General features: G+C 44.5%; 1 protein-coding gene and 1 long non-coding RNA gene across 5 annotated transcripts in view, besides 2 other annotated features; one reads left to right on the plus strand and one right to left on the minus strand.

Annotated features, from left to right (window-relative positions):
* The window catches only part of AFF4 (ALF transcription elongation factor 4), an 88240-nt gene extending 77654 nt beyond the window's left edge, over positions 1-10586 (minus strand). For all 4 annotated transcript variants that reach the window (XM_006714587.5, NM_014423.4, XM_047417103.1 and 1 more), the window contains exon 1: positions 10211-10586. The gene's annotated coding sequence lies outside the window, so the exon portion shown is untranslated. The remainder of the gene's footprint in view (positions 1-10210) is intronic.
* Positions 7613-8114: an enhancer, noted in NCBI's record as "H3K4me1 hESC enhancer chr5:132296353-132296854 (GRCh37/hg19 assembly coordinates)". NCBI's record gives its function as "activates a minimal SCP1, AML or CMV promoter by ChIP-STARR-seq in naive H9 embryonic stem cells {active_cell/tissue: H9 hESC(naive)}" and the evidence as "EXISTENCE:reporter gene assay evidence [ECO:0000049][PMID:30033119]".
* Positions 10041-10880: a silencer, noted in NCBI's record as "silent region_16344". NCBI's record gives its function as "represses an Ori minimal core promoter by ATAC-STARR-seq in GM12878 lymphoblastoid cells {active_cell/tissue: GM12878}" and the evidence as "EXISTENCE:reporter gene assay evidence [ECO:0000049][PMID:35858748]".
* On the plus strand, positions 10764-11642 carry AFF4-DT (AFF4 divergent transcript). The gene is made up of 2 exons (NR_186175.1): positions 10764-11086; positions 11193-11642. It is a non-coding gene; the product is annotated as an AFF4 divergent transcript (long non-coding RNA).

The raw sequence follows: 22534 nt of genomic DNA on the forward strand, positions 1-22534 counted from the left end.
GCTAGGCACTACCATGCCTGTAATCTCAGCACTTTGGGAGGGCAAGGTGAGAGGACTGCTTGAGCTCAGGAATTCAAGACCAGCCTAGGCAACATAGGGAGAATCTGTCTCTACTAAAAAAAAAAAAAAATTGTATTATCTTTTTTTAATCCCAAAGGCTTCAAAACTAAGAAATCTCTGTTTTTTTTAATTTCGATTTTTTATTTTTTAGAGACAGGGTCTCAGTCTGTCACCCAGGCTGGAGTACAGTGGTGCAATCATAGTTCACTGTAACCTCAAACTCCTTAGGTAAGTGCTCCTCCCACCTCAGCCTCCTGAGTAGCTGGGACTAAAGGATGCATGACACCACACCTGGGTAATTTTTTTTTCTTTTCAATTTTTTGTAGAGACAAGATCTCACTATGTTGCCCAGGCTGGCCTAAAACTCCTGGCCTCAAGTAATCCTACCACCTCAGCCTCCCAAAGTGCTGGGATTACAAGAACTTTGTAATGAGTCACCATGCCCAATCCCAAAAATCTCAATCTTAATACATCTAAAATTAATTTTCTGATCTGCTTTCCCTTATCACCAACCACTCCTCCTCCAGTGATCCTCATCCTAATAGTAATGCATCCAGCCAGCCAACTGCTTTTGCTGAATTCTTCCTTCAACCTCTCTTCAAATCTAATCCATCACCATAACTGCCAAAATATATTTTGAATCTCCCTCCTCACTTCTTTTTCCACTGCCACCGTTCAAAACACACCACATTTTATCTTCCGCTTGAATAAACGCTACAGCCTTTCTAATTGGACTTCTACTTCCCTCGGTCTCTCTTTATATGCCATACGGCAGCCAAAGTAATCTTTCTAAGACACAAGTCAGGTCAGATTGCCTAACTCCTGCTTAAAATTTTTAAATAAGCTTTCCGTTTACTTTAAGATAAACTTTAAAGTCCTCAACATGGCTTACAATATTCTACTTGATCTGACTCTTGTCTCCTCATCAGATTAATCTCATACTTTCTACCAGTCCCTTCCAGTTCTTGAACACAGTGTGCATTCCAGATTCAGGAAAGTCATGCATATGAGCAGTTCCCAATCTTTTTGGCACCAGGGACCAGTTTCACAGACGACAATTTTTCCATGGATGGACAGGGGTTGCGGGGAGATGATTTTGAAAGAAAACCATTTCACCTCAGATCATCAGGCATTAGTTAGATTCTCAGAAGGAGTATGCAACCTAGATCCCTTGCATGTGCAGTTCACAACAGGGTTCGAGCTCCTATTGACACGGCAGAGTTCCCTCGACCCCATCACGTGACTTGTGACAGGGGTGGCTCACTTGCTTACCTGCCATGCTCAAACCCCTTGTGGGAGGGGGAGCACACAGGGTGAGTGGGTGCAGAAGCTTTTGGGTGCCAGCAGGAATTAACCCCATACCGGCTCATGGCAGCATCTAGGGGTGGTTGCCCACGACCTCTGGAGCCCCAGAGGGTGTGTGTTACAAACAATGCTCTTTTTTTTTTTTTTTTTTTGAGACGGAGTCTCGCTCTGTCGCCCAGGCTGGAGTGCAGTGGCGGGATCTCGGCTCACTGCAAGCTCCGCCTCCCGGGTTCACGCCATTCTCCTGCCTCAGCCTCCCAAGTAGCTGGGACTACAGGCGCCCGCCACTACGCCTGGCTAATTTTTTGTATTTTTAGTAGAGACGGGGTTTCACCGTTTTAGCCAGGATGGTCTCGATCTCCTGACCTCGTGATCCGCCCGCCTCGGCCTCCCAAAGTGCTGGGATTACAGGCGTGAGCCACCGCGCCCGGCCTAGACAATGCTCTTTTATCATTTGCTGTCCACGGATGGCTAAGTGTTAAGCTCACTGGAAGGTCAGGGTGATAGCCTTTCACATCCTGCCCTCCTGGTACCCAGGTTCTTCTCCGGTATCCAGGAAGAATCAGGTCACATGAACTTGAAGGATGCTGAATGCAGAGATTGTATTGAGTGGTGGAAGTGGCTCTCAGCAGGATGGGGAGCTGGAAAAGGGATGGAGTGGGAAGATAATCTTCCCCTGGAGCTCAGCTGTCCCTAGCTGAAATCCTCTCCAACCCATAGTCTCCGGTGTCCAGCTGCTGCTTCTCCTCTCTGCTTCTTCTCTTCTCTCCTCTGCCATACCACTCTGTTCCTCTGCTAGTGGAGCTTGGAGTTTTTATGGGTACAGGGTGGAGGGGCGTGGTGGGCCAGAGTGGTTATGGAAAAGGAAACATTCAGGCAGGAAAACAGGGATGTGAAGTTCTTATTTAGGGTTATGGGTCCAAGCTTGAGGGGCCCTCACCAGGTACCCCACCCACTTCTAGCCAGTATTTCCCTGCCTCCTGTCTGTATCACTATGAGAATCTGATCTGATAGGAAGCAAAGCTCAGACGGTAATGCTCACTTGCATAGTGTACTACATAATAGCGTACATACAACTATACAGGTCAGGTGTAGCGACTTATGCCTGTAATCTGAACACTTTGGGAGGCCAAGGCGGGCAGATCACGAGGTCAGGAGTTCAAGACCAGCCTGATCAACATGGTGAAACCCCCATCTCTACTAAAAATACAAAAAGTAGCCGGGCGTGGTGGCGGGCGCCTGTAATCCCAGCTACTCAAGAGGCTGAGGCAGGAGAATCGCTTGAACCCGGAAGGCAGAGGTTGCAGTGAGCCAAGATCATGCCACTGCACTCCAGCCTGGGTGATAGAGTGAGATTCCATCTCAAAAAAAAAAAAAAAAAAATATATATATATATATATACACACACACACACAAAATATATACATATACATGTATTACATAGATTATATAGTATATAATATACATCAGAGTATATTATATATGCTACATATAATATATACTATACTTACTATATTATACTATACTATATAGTATAGTATATATAATATAATGCACAAGATGTGTAATATATAAATATATAATACACGTAATACATGTAAATATATGTGTATTATACTCATATGTATTACACAAATATACATATTCTACAAACAAAAAACCCTAACAGCCACCAAGTAAATGGGGACCTTGTAACTAACTGCTCAACCCTAAAGAAATCCTCAAACCCAAGTATCCACTAAGGCTGGATTCAACAAATGTTTTTAGGGCCACAGTAAATATTTCAGGTTTGGCAGGCCATATAGTCACAATTACTAAATTCTGCCATCACAGCAGCAAAAGCAGCCACAGACAATACATAAACAAAAAACAAACGGGTGTGCTGCCTGTGTTCCAGTAAAACTTTATTTATGGACATTGAAATCTGAGTTTCCTGGCCGGGCCCAGTGGCTCATGCTTGTAATCCCAGCACCTTGGAAGGCTAAGGCAGGTGGATTACCAGAGGTCAGAAGTTCAAGACCAGCCTGGCCAACCTGGCAAAACCCCATCTCTACTAAAACTACAAAAATTAGCTAGGTGTGGTGGCGCACATCTGTAATCCCAGCTACTCGGGAGGCTGAAGCAGGGAGAATCACTTGAACCTGGGAGGCAGAGGCTGCAGTGAGCCGAGATCATGCCACTGCACTCCAGCCTGGGCAACAGAGCAAGACTCCATCTCAGAAAAAAAAAAAAAAAGAGAGAGCGAGAGAAAGAAATCTGAGTTTCCTAAAATATTGACTTGCTAAAAAAAATGATTTTTCTCCCACCATTTAAAAATGTAAACATGGGCCAGGCAAGGTGGCTCACACCTGTAACCCCAGCACTTTGGGAGGCTGAGGCAGGCAGATCATGAGGTCAGGAGTTCAAGACCAGCCTGACCAACATGGTGAAACCCCATCTCTACTAAAAATACAAAAATTGGCCGGGCATGGTGGCAGGTGCCTGTAATCCCAGCTACTCAGGAGGCTGAGGCAGAAGAATCAGTTGAACCTGGGAGGTGAAGGTTGTGGTGAGCCAAGATTGCACCATTGCACTCCAGCCTGGGTGACAGTGTGAGACTTCGTCTCAAAAAAAAAAAAAAAAAAAAAAAAAAAAAACAGAAAAATGGCCAGGTGCAGTAACTCATGCCTGGAATCTCAGCACACTGAGTGGCTGAGGTGGGAGGACTACCTGAGGCCAGGAATTTGTAACCAGCCCAGGCAATACAGCAAGACCCCATCTTTGCAAAAACCAAAAAATTTAGCCAGGTATGGTGGCTCGTGCCTGTAGTCCTAGCTACTTGGAAGGCTGAGGCAGGAGGATCACATGTGTGCAGCAGATCAAGGCTGCAGTGAGCCGTGACTGCCCCATGCACTCCAGCCTGGGTAACCGAGTGCAGTCCTGTCCAAAAAAATAATAATTATTATTATTATTTAAAATGTTATTATTTAAAATGTTATTTTATTTAATGCTAAATCAGATCAGACTTCTAGATGTTAACTATTAAAATTTACAGAAAGGACGGGTGCAGTGGCTCATACGTATAATCCCAGCACTTTGGGAGGCCGAGGCAGGCAGATCACCTGAGGTCAGGAGTTCGAGATCAGCCTGGTCAACATGGCAAAACCCTGTCTCTACTAAAAATACAAAAATTGGCTGGGCATGGTGGCAGGCGCCTGTAGACCCCAGCTACTCAGGAGGCTGGGGCAGGACTGCTTGAAATCCAGGAAGCGGAGGTTGCAGTGAGTTGAGATCATGCCACTGTACTCTAGCCTGGGTGACAGTGCAAGACTCCATCTCAAATAATAGAAATAAAAAAAATAAAATAAACAAAATTTACAGAAAATACAAGGGACAAAAGAACATATTACATGAAACCACTGGGATCTCATCAACACAATCTAGATTCTGAGAAGTATCATAGGGCAAAGACCTGGCTTCTTCAACAAACCAATTGTATGGGAATAACCACAATAAAAAGATAGAGGAAAACTTATAGATTAAAAGAAAAAAGTATCGATTACCTAAACCCAATGTAATATTTACAGACCTTATTTGGATCCTAATTCACAAAAATTGTAAAAACAATACAAAAACTATAATCAGGGAAATGTGAACACTTGATATTGATGATATTAAGGAATGCGTGTTACTTTTTTTAGTGTATAATATTGGGATTGTTTTAATCTTTATATTTTAGAAACACATAATGAAATATTACAACACTTACAGTCCTTCTTTTACTAGTGTCTTCCCTAATACATTTTTCGTGATGTTACTCAGCAGGCTATAGTCCCATAGTAGCTGCATAACAAATAATTAAAAGAGGTACACCAGCCTGGACAACAGGGCGAAACCCCATTTCTACAAAAAATACAAAAAAAATTAGCAGGGCATGGTGGTGCACACCTGTAGTCCCAGCTACTCGGGAGGCTGAGTTATGAAAATTGCTTGAGCCTGGGAAGCAGAGGTTGCAGTGAGCCAAGATCACATCACTGCACTCCAGCCTGGATGACAGAGTGAGACCCTGTCTCAAAAAAAAAAAAAAAAAAAAAAAAGGAGCTACAAAGTGATGCAGAGATTGAAAGGAAGTAGATCACAACTGGAGTGGGGTGAAGAATTAACCAAAACTTCAAGAAGGCAATGAAACGTAAATCAGGCCTTTAAAAACGGTGAAATTTTAACAGGTAAGAAACAAGTTAGAAGAAATAATATTCCAATTGGAAGAAATGGAAGCAACTGCAAAAAGGTAAGAAGGTGTGTCTCTACAGAGTATTGGCTGGTACTCATCTCTCCATAAAACTGTCCCTTCCCTAATGATGACATGAAAAGGAAAAGTCATAACCCACTAGGCAACTCCAAACTGACAAAATCCTGGGAGAGCTATTAGGCCCAAAGCAACTCCAGGCAGCCCTGTCCCCGAACAGATCTCTGGGTAATCAAACCATACTGGCTTTCCAGTGCAGTCTATTCATGTCAGTCCCTGATTCCTCCTACCCAACAACCTTGGGAAAAGAATACATGAAGTTCTTTTACCTGTCCTAGGAAATGATTATTGAAGTAATTAGTTTAAAACAGTATCCACTAATAAGCTACGTTTCCTTGCCTAAAAGCCACCAACACAGTTCATTAAGAACTCCAAGAGAGAAAAAGTTACATAAAATGCCTTCTGTCAGAACATTCCTCAGGTTACAGATTTTTTTTTTTTTTTTTGAGATAGAGTCTTGCTGTGTTGCCAGGCTGGAGTGCAGTGGTGCGATCTCAGCTCACTGCAACCTCCGCCTCCCAGGTTCAAGCGATTCTCCTGCCTCAGCCTCCCAAGTAGCTGGGACTACAGGCGCCACCATGCCCAGCTAATTTTTGTATTTTTAGTAAAGACGGGGTTTCACCATATTGTCCAGGATTGTCTTGATCTCTCGACCTCGTGATCCGCCCACCTTGGCCTCCCAAAGTGCTGGGATTACAGGCATGAGCCACCGGGCCCGGCAAGGTTACAGATTTTTTTAAATAAAGAATAGCTGATAAAGCAGGTAGCTAAGATTTTTTTTCTTCAAAAATAGAATAGGTAGTTCTAGTATTAAAATGTTTTGGAATACTCTGGAATTGAATTTGGAGGTTCTAATATTTTCTGTGCCCCAGTATCGTTAAAACTTTCAAGATATGATACCAGCGAAAATGAACATCAAGACAAACAGGAATGCAGATGATGTGCCAAAACTCAGTAACTGGAACATATATTACTGCCCTCTTCCGTGTACTAGAGTATCACTTCAAATAACCAAGAAGGGTATGTATAGGGAGTTAACAACAAGTAGGAGTGCTTTTCTTTTTTTTTTTTTTTTTTTTTTTTTGAGACGGAGTCTCGCTCTGTTGCCCAGGCTGGAGTGCAGTGGTGCGATCTCGACTCACTGCAAGCTCCGCCTCCTGGGTTCACGCCATTCTGCTGCCTCAGCCTCCCAAGTAGCTGGGACTACAGGCGCCTGCCACCACACCCAGCTAATTTTTTGTATTCTTTTAGTAGAGACGTGTTAGCCAGGATGGTCTCGATCTCCTGACCTCGTGATCCGCCAGCCTCAGCCTCCCAAAGTGCTGGGATTACAGGCATAAGCCACTGCGCCTGGCCAGTAGGAGCGCTTTTCTTAAACCAAAGGAAAAAGCAGCAAGGTAACAGGTCAGGTTAGCTTTAGGCAGTCTTTAGTCACTACACCTTCTTTCACAATAACTGAGACTAGCTAACACCCTCCCAGAAATCAAATAGAATTGTTCCAACTTATCAGAGGAAATGAATAAGGGAATGGGTAAAACATAATAAGGATGCAGGAGAGCTGGGAACCTTTATATCATATAGAAAAGTCTTCATAGTGAGATATCTGTAGAATAAAGCTAAAGTAAAAAAAAATCTAAGTCATCAATTTTTTATAGTACATGCTGTACTTCTGGGTCATTGTCCAGGTGTGCTCTCAATACTTAAGAATACCTCTTTGATTTTATTAAAAATACCACAAAGAAAAGTCCTCATAGATTTTGAACTCCATTCTAAACCAGTGGATGGCCACAAAGGAAGAAATACCTGTTTTATTTGTTCCTCTCAGGTACACATAAAACTACGGCATTTACCTTACCTTCTCAAAAAAGGCAAAATATATAACTTTTAGAAAGCTTCATCTTCTGTCTCATCTTCTGAAACTGACAGGTTTTTCCCTTTCAAATACTGATCCTTTGCTCATACAGCTTTCTTTACATTACCTTTTTGTGAAATCTTAGATAAGTTGATAGAACAACAATTTCAAGTTCAAAATATTATCACATTCAAATTCAATCTAGTAATTGTGTAAAATACTGAGGAAGATAAAAAGAGGAATAAATATAGTACTTCCTCAAAGACCCTGTAACAGATCTGTAAGAAAATTATTATGCATCCCTCAATATCTGCAAGAGACAGGGAAAAAAAGAAAATTACAGTGCAAAACATATAGTAGGCTTCTGCTTGTTTGAGACATCGCCTAGGTTGGCCGGGCGCAGTGCTCATGCCTGTAATCCCAACACTTTGGGGAGGCCGAGGCGTGTGGATCACGAGGTCAGGAGTTCGAGACCAGTCTGACCAACCTGCTGAAACCCCGTCTCTACTAAAAATACAAAAAACATTAACTGGGAATGGTAGTGTGTACCTGCAATCCCAACTACTCAGGAGGCTGAGGCAGGAGAATCGCTTGAACCCAGGAGGCAGAGGTTGCAGTGAGCAGAGATGGAGCCACTGCATTCCAGTGGTGTGATCTCGGCTTACTGCAACCTTCGCCTCCCAGTTCAAGCGATTCTCAAGCGATTCTCGTGCCTCAGCCTCTGGAGTAGCTGGGACTACAGGCATGTACCACCATGTCTGGCTAATTTGGTTCTCATGCCTCAGCCTCTCAAGTAGCTAGAACTACAGGTGTGCACCACCACACCTGGCTAATTCTTGTATTTTTAGTAGAGACGGGGTTTCATTATGTTGGCCAGGATGGTCTAGAACTCCTGACCTCAGGTGATCCGCCCACCTCGGCCTCTCAAAGTGCTAAAGTGCTAGGATTACAGGCGTGAACCACCAGGCCCGGCTGCAGAATATATTGCTACAAAAAGGGTACAATAACTCAAGAGTACACAGAAGAGAATGTATCAACCTGAATGTGAGAATCTGACAAGTAGAAAGTGACTCAGAACAAAAATATTCAATCTTTAAGAATTCTTAATTACACAGCTTCACCTTACACTCCCAAACTGTAGATCATGTTCCAATTAACACAGCTGGGCTCTTTTTTCAGACACCCCATCTTGTCCCCACTTGAAGCAAAATTTTATTTAAAGTAAAATTTGCCTACTGTTTCTAGAGAGTTAACAAAAATCAAAGTACCAGCCTGCAAACCACCGCAAATTGAATGAAACTGCTGGTAATAAAAAAAGAAAAATTTGACTGCTTCCAGGTTTTTAGTAAGTTAACTCTGAAAGATAACTTAAAATAACTTACTGGGAATTTTTCTTATATTTAGGAGCTGAAAGATGCAGTGATAATAAGGAAAACGAATCTGAGAAATTTAAAGAAGCCAGCTTTGTTGAAAACCAAGTGGCCACTTGCCAACACTTCTTTATGCACGTATGACCAAAGATGATTCTAGGCAGACTCACAGACCACAAAGGCTCTTTATCAAATCCCAAATTAAGAAAGTTCTCATAAATATTTCAATTTTGATAAGTTAAAGACCAGTTAAGTTTTAAAAAGCACTTTATGAAGTGCAGAATCAATACAGAAACGAAGCTTTGCGCTTTTCATATCTGAGCCCGAAAAACAGCACACATTTTATGTTACATTTACAGTCTATTCACAGACACCTATAGCTTAGATTCCATCAAGAAAAACACTGGTCAATGGAAAAGTGACTGGCCTTAGTATAAAATTTCCATGTGGCCAGCAGGGAAGAAACCGCATAATTCTGAATTACAACTGACAAAACTACGAGAACCCTAAATCGAACTCTTCGCCTTGAACTCCATATACAAACATTTCAGATTCGTACTTCCACTTCCTGAAAATAATACTGTTTGTAAACGAAAAGGCAATAAGGTTACTCCCAAAACTCCTGTACTCCATGATCCATCCTCAAAGAGTGGAAGGAACAGCAAAGTAGAAGGAACAAAGCACTGACGTCAATTACGAGATTAACCCCAAGCACAGGCAGCTGGAGGAAAGGCCTAAACATCAATATCCACGCACAAGCTACTGGGATAACTAGGTAACAGACCGATTCAGAAGTTGTAGGGGAGGGTATTCGAGTATTATACCCCCACGTTCCCATTTTTAGTCAATCCCCTTCGCAAGTCGAAGGCGGAAATTTTTCCTTCTTTTTTTTTTTTTTTTGCGGGGGTGGGGGTGTGGGAGAGGTGCGCAGGATCGCGAGAAGGAAAGCGAGAACTAGCTGGGTAATGTTAGCCAGAATCTGGGCCTATTTTCTCTTTAATTAGACATAATTTGAAATTGAGGAGGATATGAAAAAGTAACAAATCAGCCGATGGAACGTCTGAGGAAAGAAAGAGGAAAGGAGAAACACTAAACGGATGGATTTCTGGGAATTTTTGTTAGGATTGGGTTAGCTTTTTTTATTTTCTTATCTTTGCGGGAAGGTGGTGGGGTGGGACGCGCAGATGAGAGGAGGGGTGACGCCTGATTGAGCAGCCCCAGCCCGGAGGGTCTCCCCGAGGCTCCCCGCAGAACTTGCGGGCCCCCACCCCCACCCGGCCCCGGCCACAACCCCCGCGGCCCGGCCCGGCCCTGGGTCAGTCTGTCGGCCCTTCTTACCTCCAGTCCCGGCTCCGCTAGGCCCGAACCATCTCCTGGCTGCGGCAGTGGCGGCGCCGGGCCTGCACCTTCACCGGACGCGCATTCGAGCCCGCCCAGGGGGCGGTGACAGGCTGCCAAGGGCGAGGGGCTCCGGGAGGCGGCGGGGGTTCCGGAGGCCTCGACAAACGAAGGCGGCGTCGGCGGCGGCGGCAGCGATGCGCCTCACACGGAACAGGCGTAGGCCCCGCACCGCTCCATGACGGTCGGGCCCGGGCTGGGACAGCTGACTGAGGCGGCGGGGGCGGGTTAACGAAGACCTGGCACCAGGATCCCCGCCCCGTCCGCTGGCGGCGGCGACGGCAGCTGGACTCCTGCAGCCAGGGCTGTGACTGACGCAGCGGCCGTGCCACCATGTGACCAAGACCGGGCGGGTGCGGGGCGTCACGTGATGCCTCTGCGCCCCTCCCCGCTGGGGGAGTAGGGGGCGGGGGTCTGTGGGCCGGCTGGGCCGGGAGGCGACGCCCGGGGTGGTGACGTTCCCGGCTGTGGGGTCTGATGACCCGGGCCAGGCAAAGGACCCGCCCGAGCGGTATAGGCCTGAGCCTCTGGGCACTGCGGCCGCGTCCGGCAGGGCTGCCACGGCAGTACAGGGCCTGCACATCCGGGAGCTCACGCCCTCCTGCGCGTAGCCCGCTAGTGAGGTTCCGAAGGGCGGGGCCGGGCCGAACCGGATATGCCGGTTCTGGGGCTCAGGTGACAAACCCAGGCCTTCCGCCCCTCGCCTCTGGTGGGGATCCGGCCCAACCCGGAGCTTCCTAGACTTGCTTCCAGGTGTCGAAGCCTCGAGTCCTCAAGAGGTCCAGCAAAAAGGCAAAGGACGCAGGAGGCTGTTCGGTATTTCCAGTAAACTTACCCTAAGAAGCCAAACCGTCCCTCTTTCTTCGTCATTTAAACATCTTCTGCCACTAATGTTTTCCTTTTCATTTATTTATTGAGATAGATCTCGCTGTTGTCGCCCAGGCTGGAGTACAATGGCGGGATCTCGGCTCACTGCAACCTCCGCCTCCCGAGTTCAAGCGATTCTAGTACCTCAGCCTCCGGAGTAGCTGGGATTAAAGGGGGGAGCCACCACCTACGGCTAATTTTTGTATTTTTAATAGAGACACGGTTTCACCATGTTGGCCAGGCTGGTCTCGAACTCCTGACCTCAACCAATCCACCCGCCTGGGCCTCCCAAAGTGTTGGGATTACAGGCGTGAGCCACCGCACCCGGCCCACTAATGTTTTTCTTCAGCATATCATTCTGAACACTTCTTTCACCTCTAAACATCTACTATTTCTTTTAAGCTTCACTCTTTATATGCATTTTCTCTATAGAGCTATATAAATTAGGAAATGTCTTAATAGAAAACTCAAAACATGACAGAATAAAAAATAATTGATTCTCCCATCTCTGTCTGTTAGCTGTTTCAGTCCTGGAAGGCAATCACTTAGCATTTAATAATGTATCTTTCCCTACATATTTGTAAGTAATACATTAAAATATAGGGATACTTCTTTTTACACAAAAGGTAACACACTATATACGCTGTTCAGTCCTTTTTTTCTCACTTCAAATATCTTGGATAGGCTGGGCACAGTGGCTCAGGCCTATGATCCCAACACTTTAGGAGGCCGAGGGGGGCTGATCGCTTGAGACCAGGAGTTTGAGACCAACCCCGGCAACATGGCAAAACCCCATCCCTATGAAAAATACAAAAATTAGCCGGGCGTGGTGGTGCATGCGTATAGTCCCACCTACTCTGGAGACTGAGGTGGGAGGATCACTTGAGCCTAGGAGGTCGGTGCTGCAGTGAGCCGGGAGCTTGCCATCCAGCCTGGATGAGAGTGAGACCCTGTCTCAAAAAAAGAAAAAAGAAAAAAATGTCTTGGACATCCTGCCATATCAGTATATAATGAACTACCTTTTTCTTCCTAGAGGCAGAATAATATTCCACTTATGCAAACATCCTAATTTATTTAACCAATCCCCTACAGGTGGATATTCCGCTTGTTGCCAAGCCATTACTATTACATGCTAAGCTGCAATGAATAACCTCATACAAGACAGGGCAACATAGTGAGACCCCATCTCTACAAAAAATAAAAAATTAGCCGTTTGTGGTGGCACAGGCTTGTGGTCCTAACTACTAGAGAGGCTGAGGTGGGAGAATCGTTTGTACCCAGGAGATGAAGGCTGCAATGAGCCCTAATCGCACCACTGCACTCCAGTCTCAGTGACAGAGCAAGACCCTGTCTCAAAAAAGTTAAAATAATTAAAAACGAAAAACAACTCCATATAATGAGCAAATTATACCTGTATGATAAATCCTTAGCCTGGAATCTTTAGATCAAAAGGATTTTTAATTTTGATAGATATTACCAAATTATCCTACACAGAAATTGTGCCTATTTCATTTACTTGCTTTCAAATTCTGCTTAAGAAGATTTACAAGGCTGTATAGGTTGGAGGGTTGAGGGGATGGAGAGTGGCAAAAGAAAAGAATATTTGTCACTTTACACCGTAATAATTTTTTTTTTTTGAGACAGAGTCTCGCTCTGTCGCCCAGGCTGGAGTGCAGTGGCGCCATCTCGGCTCACTGCAAGCTCTGCCTCCCAGGTTCACGCCATTCTCCTGCCTCAGCCTCCCCAGTAGCTGGGACTACAAGTGCCCGCCACTACGCCCGGCTAATTTTTTTGTATTTTTAGTAGAGATGGGGTTTCACCGTGTTAGCCAGAATGGTCTCGATCTTCTGACCTCGTGATCCACCCGCCTCGGGCTACCAAAGTGCTGGGATTACAGGCGTGAGCCACCACTCCCGGCCACACCATAATAATTTTGATTAAAGATGAGTATTAAGGTGCAAATTGAAAATATGTAACAAACTTTAAGTTTCCTTGCTTATTCTGAAGTAAATGTTATTTGGCTAACGCAAATAATAATATGCTTTTGTTCCATAAAGGATAGTGATACTTTTTCAATACAAAATGAAACCTTATTTAAAAACCAAAAAGGGGAGGAATGGCCAGTATAGCCTTTTATTTGGCATTATTCTGCAAATAAGAAGTTTCCGGCCAGGTGTGGTGGCTCATGCTTGTAATCCCAGCACTTTGGGAGGCCAAGGCAGGCAGATCACCTGAGGTCGGGAGTTCCAGACCAGCCTGACCAACATGGGGAAACCCAGTCTCTACTAAAAATACTAAAATTAGCTGGGCGTGGTGGCCAGTGCCTATAATCCCAGCTACTCAGGAGGCTGAGGCAGGAGAATCACTTGAATCCAGGAGGCCGAGGTTGTGGTGAGCCAAAACCTTGCTGTTGCACTCCACCGTGGGCAGCAAGAGCAAAACTCCATCTCAAAAAAAAAGTTTCCTCTGTTTCAGCAAATAAAAGAAAAAGTTCCTAAAATTATTTCTAAGTTTTTAATATTTTAATATTGTATCATTTTGTTTAAGAAGTTACATCTGTTTTAACAAAGTGAATGTTCTGTCTCTAACTTCATGTTCTAGAACAGTGTAAGACTACTGTGCAGAATGGAGAAATTGCAGAAAATGACGTACCATAAAACTAAAAGAGAAACAAAGGCCGGGCACGGTGGTTCATGCCTGTAATCCCAGCACTTTGGGAGGCTGAGGTACGTGGATCACAAGGTCAGGAGTTCAAAACCAGCCTGGCCAAGATGGTGAAACCCTGTCTCTACTAAAAATACAAAAATTAGCTGGGGGCAGTGGCAGGCGCCTGTAATCCCAGCTACTCAGGAGGCTGAGGTAGGAGAATTGCTTGAATTCGGGCTTCAGAGGTTGCAGTGAGCCAAGATCGTGCCACTGCACTCCAGCCTGGGCGACAGAGGGAGACTCTGTCTCAAAAAAAAAAAAAAAAAAGAAACAAAAATCTCAAAGCAAAATATGATTGTTTTACTAGCATGCAAGATTTTAACAAAGGATTTAGGCCAGGCACGGTGGCTCATGCCTGTAATCTCAGCACTTTGGGAGGCCACAGCAGGTGAATCATCTGAGGTCAGGAGTTCGAGACCAGCCTGGCCAACATTGCGAAATTCTGTGTCTACTAAAATACAAAAATTAGCTGGGCACAGTGGTGTGCATCTATAATCCCAGCTATTTGGGAGGCTGAGACAGGAGAACTGCTTGAACCCGGGAGGCAGACGTTGCAGTGAGCCAAGATTGTGCCATTTACAGTCCAGCCTGGGCAACAGAGCAAGACTCTGTCTCAAAAAAAAATAAAGATTTAATGTATATTGTTAGAGTAGCAATACTTAGTAACTGAGTACTGTTTTTAAGTTAGGTTTTTGAAGGTAAAATTTACATATCATAAAATTCATCCTTGGCTGGGCGTGGTGGCTCATCCCTGTAATCCCAGCACTTTGGGAGGCAGAGGTGGGCAGATCACTTGAGGTCAGGAGTTTCAGACCAGCCTGGACAACATGGTGAAACCCATTCTCTACTAAAAATACAAAAATTAGCCAGGCATGGTGGCGCACACCTGTGATCCCAGCTACTCAGGAGGCTGAGGCAGGAGAATCACTTGAACCTGGTAAGTGGAGGTTGTGGTGAGCCGAGATCTTCCCACTGCACTCCAGCCTGGGCAACAGAGTGAGAATCCGTCTCAAAAAAAAAAAAAAAGTATATAATGTACAGTTTTATGAGTTCTGACAAATGCATACAGTTGTGTAACTACCACCACAGTCAAGATATAGAACATTTCAATCACCACAAAATATTCCCTCTTGCCCCTTCGTAATGAACCCTTCATTTCAACCCCAGTTCCTGGAAAACATAGATCTACTTTTTGTCCTTATACCATTACCTTTTCCAGAATATCAAACAAATGGAATCATGCAGTATATAGCCTTTCAAGTCTGGCTTCTTTCACTTGGTATAATGCTTGTGAAATTTATCCATTGTTGTTTTCATGTATCAGTACTTTCTTTTTTTTTTTAATCACTGAATAGTATTCCATTGTGTGGATATAACATAGCTTGTTTAGCCATTAATCAGTTGAAGAACATTTGGGTTGTTTCCATTAACAAAAAACAATTAGAAGTCATTGTAGAAGTCCAAAAATAAAATAAAATAAAAATTATGAATAAAGCTACTATAAATATCCATGTACAAGGTTTCATTTGGGCCTTAAATGATCTCCACCAATATTTTCTGAAAATCACATCTAGATATAGGAACTACCAAGTCACAACTACAGCTACGTAAACATTATTCCATATTATTTTAGAAACTCAGATAATTTATTCATTATTTATCAAATATTTATTAAACATCTACTATATAGCAGGTATTGTTCTAAGCACATGGATAAGACAATTGTCAGATACTAGCTCCCCCAAAATACCACCAAGACAACCCATTGGCGAAACCCTGTCTCTACTAAAAATACAAAAAAATTAGCCAGGCGTGGTGGCGGACGCCTGTAATCCCAGCTACTTGGGAGGCTGAGGCAGGAGAATTGCTTGAACCCGGGAGGTGGAAGTTGCAGTGAGCCGAGACTGCACCATTGCACTCCAGCCTGGGTGACAGAATGAGACTCTGTCTCAAGAAAAAAAAAAGCAAAACTGAGTTATTGTTCACTTCAATAAAAAAGATCACTACCTTAACACAGTCTCAGTAACATCTTTAAGGGGGAAAGCAAAGTTGGAATATTTATAAGGTTTGGGGATCTGATTTAAGAGAGTTTTTCAATTCAAGGGGCTTGATTACAACTGGGTAAGAATCATGATACATTGGGATTTGTGGACATAGTAAGGAAAGGTTTTTTTTGAGACAGAGTTCTGCTCTTGTCACCCAGGCTGGAGTGCAGTGGCGAGATCTCTCGGCTCACTGCAACCTCCGCCTCCCAGGTTCAAGTGATTCTCTGGCCTCAGCATCCTGAGTAGCTGGGATTACAGGCGCCCACCACCACGCCCAGCTAATTTTTGTATTTTTAGTAGAGACGGGGTTTCGCCATGTTGGCCAGACTGGTCTCAAACTCCTGACCTCGGGTAATCCACCTACCTCAGCCTCCCAAAGTGCTGGGATTATAGGCGTGAACCACCGCACCCGGCCAGAAAAGGGTTTTAAAGAGTCTGGGATAGTGTATTAGTTTTCTACTGCTGCAGTAATGAATTACCACAAATTTAGGGGCTTCAAACACCACAAATGTGTTATCTTACAATTGTGTCAATAGAAGTCTGACACCAGTCTCACTTGATTAAGACAATGTATTGGCAAGACTGTTGCTTTCTACAAGCTCTAAGGGAGAGTCCTTCCCTTTTCCAGCTTCTAGAGACTGCCCTCATTCATTGGCTTGTGACCCTTTCCTCTGTCTTCAAAGAAAGCAGTGGCTGGTTGTGTTCTTTTAAAATCACATCACTTTGACTTTCTATTCCATCTCCATTATTTATTTTATATATATAAAAATATATATTTGGCTGGGCGCAGTGGCTCACACCTGTAATCTCAGCACTTTGGAAGGCCGAGGCGGGTGGATCACGAGGTCAGGAGATCGAGACCATCCTGGCGAACACAGTGAAACCCTGTCTCTACTAAAAATGCAAAAAATTAGCCGGGCGTGGTAGCACATGCCTATAGTCCCAGCTACTCGGGAGGCTTCGGCAGGAGAATGGCGTGAACCCAGGAAGCGGAGCTTGCGGTGAGCGGAGATGGAGCCACTGCACTCCAGCTTGGGTGACTGAGCGAGACTCTGTCTCAAAAAAAAAAAAAAAATTAGCCAGGCGTGGTGGCAGGTGCCTGTAGTCCCAGCTACTCGGGAGGGTGAGGCAGGAGAATGGTGTCAACCTGGGAGGCGGAGCTTGCAGTGAGCCAAGATCACATCACTGCATTCCAGCCTGGGCAACAGAGTGAGACTCCATCTCAAAAAAAAAAAAAAAAACCATATATATATATATTTCTTCTTATTATTTTGGGCCAACTCAGATCATTCAGAATCTCATCTACTTGTTTTAAGGTCAACTAAATAAACAACCTTAATTTCATCTGCCACCTCAATTCCCCTATGCCATATAAAATAGCATATTAGGGCCGGGCGCGGTGGCTCATGCCTGTAATCCCAGCACTTTGGGAGGCCAAGGCAGGTGGATCACAAGGTCAGGAATTCGAGACCAGGCTGGCCAATGTGGCGAGACTCCATCTCTACTAAAAATACAAAAATTAGCAGGGCATGGTGGCATGGTGTCGGGTGCCTGTAATCCCAACTACTCAGGAGGCTGAGGCAGGAGAATCACTTGAACTTGGGAGGCAGAGGGTTGCAGTGAGCTGAGATTGCACCATTGCACTCCAGCCTGGGTGATAAGAGTGAAACTTCATCTCAAAATAAAATAAAATAAATAATAAAATAGCATATTAGGTTGGGTGGGTTGGCTCATGCATGAAATCCCAGCACACTGGGAGGCTTAGGCAAGAGGATCACTTGAGCCCAGGAGTTCAAGACCAGCCTGAGCAACACAGTGAGACCCCATCTCTTAAAAAATTGAAAAATTAGCCAGATGTGGTGGTGCACGCCTGCAATCCCAGGTACTTGGGAGGCTGAGGTAGAAGGATAAATTGAGCCTGGGAGGTGGAGGCTACAATGATCCATGATCCTGCTGCTGGGTGACAGGGAGAGATCCTGTCTCAAAAAAAAAAAAAGCATATTAGTATATTCACAGGTTCACAAGTTCTAAGGATTAGTACATGAACATCTTTGGGGAAGAATTATTCTGCCTACCACAGAGCATAAAGTCACTTGAAGTCATCTATTGAAAAGCTGAGCAGTTAGATGTTCTTTTAAACATTTATATGGTTTGGATCTGTGTTCCCGCCCAAATCTCAAGTAAAATTGTAATTCCCAATGTTGGAGGTGGGGCCTGATGTGAGGTGATTGGATCATGGAGGTGTTTCTCATGAATAATTTAGCACCATCCTCTTAGTTCTGGTCTCATGATAGTGAGTTCTCATAAGATCTGGTTGACTAAAAGTGTGTGGCACAGCTGGGCATGGTGGCTCATGCCTGTAACCCTAGCACTTTGGGAGGCCAAGGTGGGCAGATCAATTGAGTTCAGGAATTTGAGACCAGCCTGGCCAACATGGCAAAACCCCATCTCTACAAAAATACAAAAATTAGCCTGGTGCGGTGGTTTGCACGTGTAGTCTCAGCTACTTGGGAGGCTAAGGCAGGAGACTTGCTTCAACTCAAGAGGCGGAGGTTGCAGTGAGCCAAGCTCACGCCACTGCATTCCAGCCTGGGCAACAGAATGAGACTCTGTCTCAGAAAAAAAAAAAAAGTTTGTGGCACCTCCCCCATTATGCTCTCTTGCTGCTACTCTGGCCTCGTGATGTGTGTGGTCCCTCTTCACATTCCGCGATGATTGTAAGTTTCCTGAGGCCTCCCCATTAGCCGAGAAGATGCTAGTATCATGCTTCTTGTACAACCTGCATAACTGTGAGCCAATTAAACCTCTTATCTTTATAAATTACGCAGCCTCAGGTATTTCTTTATGGCAGTGCAAGAACGGACTAATGCCTGTCATTCCAGCTACTCGGGAGGCTGAGGCAGGAGAATCACTTGAACCTGGGAAGCAGAGGTTGCAGTCAGCCAAGACCCCGCCATTGCACTCCAGCCTGTGCAATAGAGTGAGACTCTGTCTGAAAAAACAAACAAACAAACAGACTAATACAAACACGATTTTGAAAAGTTGCTGAAATTGTTAGAGGTGTTCCAACAGAGAGACTCCATCTTGACTACGGGCTGGGTGAAACAAGGCTGAGACCTACTGGGCTGCATTCCCAGGAGGTTAGGCATTCTTAGTCACAGGATGAGATAGGAGGTCGGCACAAGATACAGGTCACAAAGACCTTGCTGATAAAACAGATTGTAGTAACGAAGCTGGCTAAAACCCACCAAAACCAAGATGGTGATGAAAGTGACCTCTGATCGTCCTCATTGCTCATTATTCCTTAATCATAAATCATTAGCACGCTAAAGACACTCCCACCAGCACAATGATAGTGTACAAATGCCATAGCAATGTCCTGAAGTTACCCTATATGGTCTAAAGGGGGGAGGAATGCTTAGTTCTGGGAAATCCCTGCCCCTTTCCTGGAAAACTCATGAATAATCCACTCCTTATTTAGCATATGATCAAGAAATAACTATAAGTATACTTAGTCAAGTGGCCCATGTCACTGTTCTGTCTATGGAGTATCATTCTTTTGTTTCTTCTGTAATAAACGTGCTTTTACTCTACCCTATTGATGGACTCCCCTGAATTCTTTTTCTTTGTCTTTTTTTTTTTTTTTTTTTTTTTGAGAGGGAGTCTTGCTCTGTGGCCCAGGCTGGAGTTCAGTGGTGCGATCTCAGCTTGCTGCAACCTCTGCATCCCGGGTTCAAGCTATTCTCCTGCCTTGGCCTCCCGAGTAGGTGGGATTGCAGGCACATGCCACCACGACCAGCTAATGTTTTTTGTATTTTTAGTAGACACGGGGTTTCACCATGTTGGCCAGGATGGTCTCCAACTCCTGACCTCAAGTGATCCACCCGCCTTGGCCTCCCAAAGTGCTGGGATTACAGGTGTGAGCCACCATGCCCGGCCTAGCAAACTTTCTATGTAAGAAACAGATAGTAAAATATTTTAGGCTTTGCAGGTCAAGTGGCAAAATCAAAGATTTTTTTTTTTTTTTTTTGAGATAGGATCTCACTCTATCACCCAGGCTGGAGTGCAGTGGTGCAATCTCAGGTCACTGCAGCCTCCATCTCTCAGGTTCAAGTGATTTTCCTGCCTCAGCCACCCAAGTAGCTGAGATTACAGGCACCCGCCACCACACCCAGCTAATTTTTGTATTTTTAGTATACAATTTGGTTTAACCAAATTGGCCAGGCTGGTCTTGAACTCCCGACCTCAAGAGACCTACCCACCTTGGCCTCTCAAAGTGCTGGGATTCCAGGTGTGAGCCACCATACCCGGCTAAATCAATGATTTCATCGAGGTACTTACATAATAATATAAAAGTTTCCATAAATATTTTATTGGTAACATTTACACTTTTTATGTGTGTGTGTGGAAAACACAGTCTCACTATATTGCCCTGGCAGGTTTCAAACTCCTGGGCTCAAGCTGTCCTCCTACCTCTGCCTCCTTAAGAGCTGGGATTACAGGGTTGAGCCACCATGCCTAGCTTATTGATAAAATTTAAAATATAGTAGTTAAGTTTTCAGGCCTGTTAATAAGAATAAAGCAATTTTGGCTAGACGCAGTGACTCACGCCTGTAAACTCAGCACTGTTGGAGGCCGAGGCAGGAGGATCACTTGAGGTCAGAAGTTTGAGAGCAGCCTGGCCAACATGGTGAAACCCCATCTCTACTGAAAATACAAAAATTAGCTGGGCATGGTTGTGCGTGCCTGTGATCCCAGCTACTTGGGAGGCTGAGGTAGGAGAATAGCTTGAGCCTGGGAGTCGGAGGTTGCGGTGAGCAGAGATCGATCACACAATTGCACTCCATCCTGGGCTACAGAATGAGTCTCTGTCTCAAAAAAAGAAAGAGAAGAAAAAGAAAATATCTTTTCACACAGATACGTACTCTTAAATATGTTATCAATCCACTGTCATATGATATTATTTTAGAATAATCATTGCTGGAGAGAAATTTATAAAATTTTATTAGAGGTTGGGCCCAGTGCCTCATGCCTAAATCCCAGGACTTTGGGAGGCCAAGGCGGGGAGATCACTTGAGGTCAGGGGTTCGACACCAGCCTGGCCAACATGGTGAAACCCCGTCTCTATTAAAAATACAAAAATTAGCCAGGCGTGGTAGTGCTTACCTGTAATCCCAGCTACTCAGGAGGCTGAGGCAGGAGAATCGTTTGAACCAAGGAAGTGGAGGTTGCAGTAAGCTGAGATCTTGCCACTGCACTCCAGCCTGGGTGACAGAGTGAAACTGTCTCAAAAAAAATAAATAAGTACATTGTATTAGACTGTTCTCTTAATATATGCCTTTGAGCATATCATTACATTGAAAAGTAATCACCTCCAATTGAAGATTAGATGGGAGATCCTCAATTGTACATTTAAACTGATTTTGAAATATGGAAATTTCCAGCCGGGAATGGTGGCTCACACCTGTAATCCCAGCACTTTGGGAGGCTGAGGCAGGCAGATCATGAGGCCAAGAGATCGAGACCAGTCTGGCCAACATGGTGAAACCTCATCTCTACTAAGAATACAAAAATTAGCTGGGTGTGGTGGCGTGCACCTGTAGTCCCAGCTGCTCAGGAGGCTGAGGCAGGAGAATCGCTTGAACCAGGGAGGTGGAGGTTGCAGTGAGCCGAGATCATGCCACTGCACTCCAGCCTGGTGACAGAGTGAGACTCCATCTCAAAAAAAAAAAAAAAAAGAAAAAGAAATACAGAAATTTACTTTATACGTGAGAGCCAAAACATGCTGTAGGCACTGTAGTTCAAATCACAGAAAAGATGTATGCTGCAAACTTGTGCAATAATGGACATCTCAGGTCTTCTTTTAACTTTGACACCAGGCCAGGCACAGTGGCTCACACCTGTAATGCCAGTACTTTGGTAGGCCAATGCGGGCAAATCACCTGAGGTCAGGAGTTCCAGACCAGCCTGGCCAACATGGTGAAACCCTGTCTCTTTTAAAAATACAAAAATTAGCCAGGTGTGGTAGCGCTCACCTGTAGTCCCAGCTACTCTGGAGGCTCAGGTAGGAGAATCGCTTGAACTTGGAAGGTGGAGGGTTCAGTGAGCTGAGATCATGCCACTGCAATCCAGCCTGGGCAACAGTGAGACTCTGTCTCAAAAAAAAAAAAAAAAAAAATTGACACCATAGGACGTGCCTAAATCAACCTGACATTTCTTGTGATTCAAACAACGTTATGTATTGCCCAAAACGACTTTATCACAGTAAGAGTTTCACATATCAATACCATTTTAATTGATAATTTTAGGTTGAATGTATTAAGAAACGTTATCACATCTTCAGCAAAAGCTAATCTCTAAAACCACTTAGTATTCAATAAAACTGGTTGAGGGCAATTCTCATTCATAAGAATTTCCATCTCACAGAATTATTCATCATAGCCAAAGGTAAAAGCAACTGACTGTTCAACAATGAATGAATGGATAAGCAAAATGGGGTATAGATGTATATACAATGAAATATTATTCAAACTCCAAAAGGAAGAACAGCTGGGCACAGTGGGTCACGCCTGTAATCCCAGCACTTTGGGAGGCTAAGGCAGGCAGATTACTTGAAGTTAGGAGTTCGAGACCACCCTGGCCAACA

This window comes from Homo sapiens, chromosome 5 (assembly GCF_000001405.40).
Source record: "Homo sapiens chromosome 5, GRCh38.p14 Primary Assembly".
Lineage (NCBI taxonomy): Eukaryota > Metazoa > Chordata > Mammalia > Primates > Hominidae > Homo > Homo sapiens.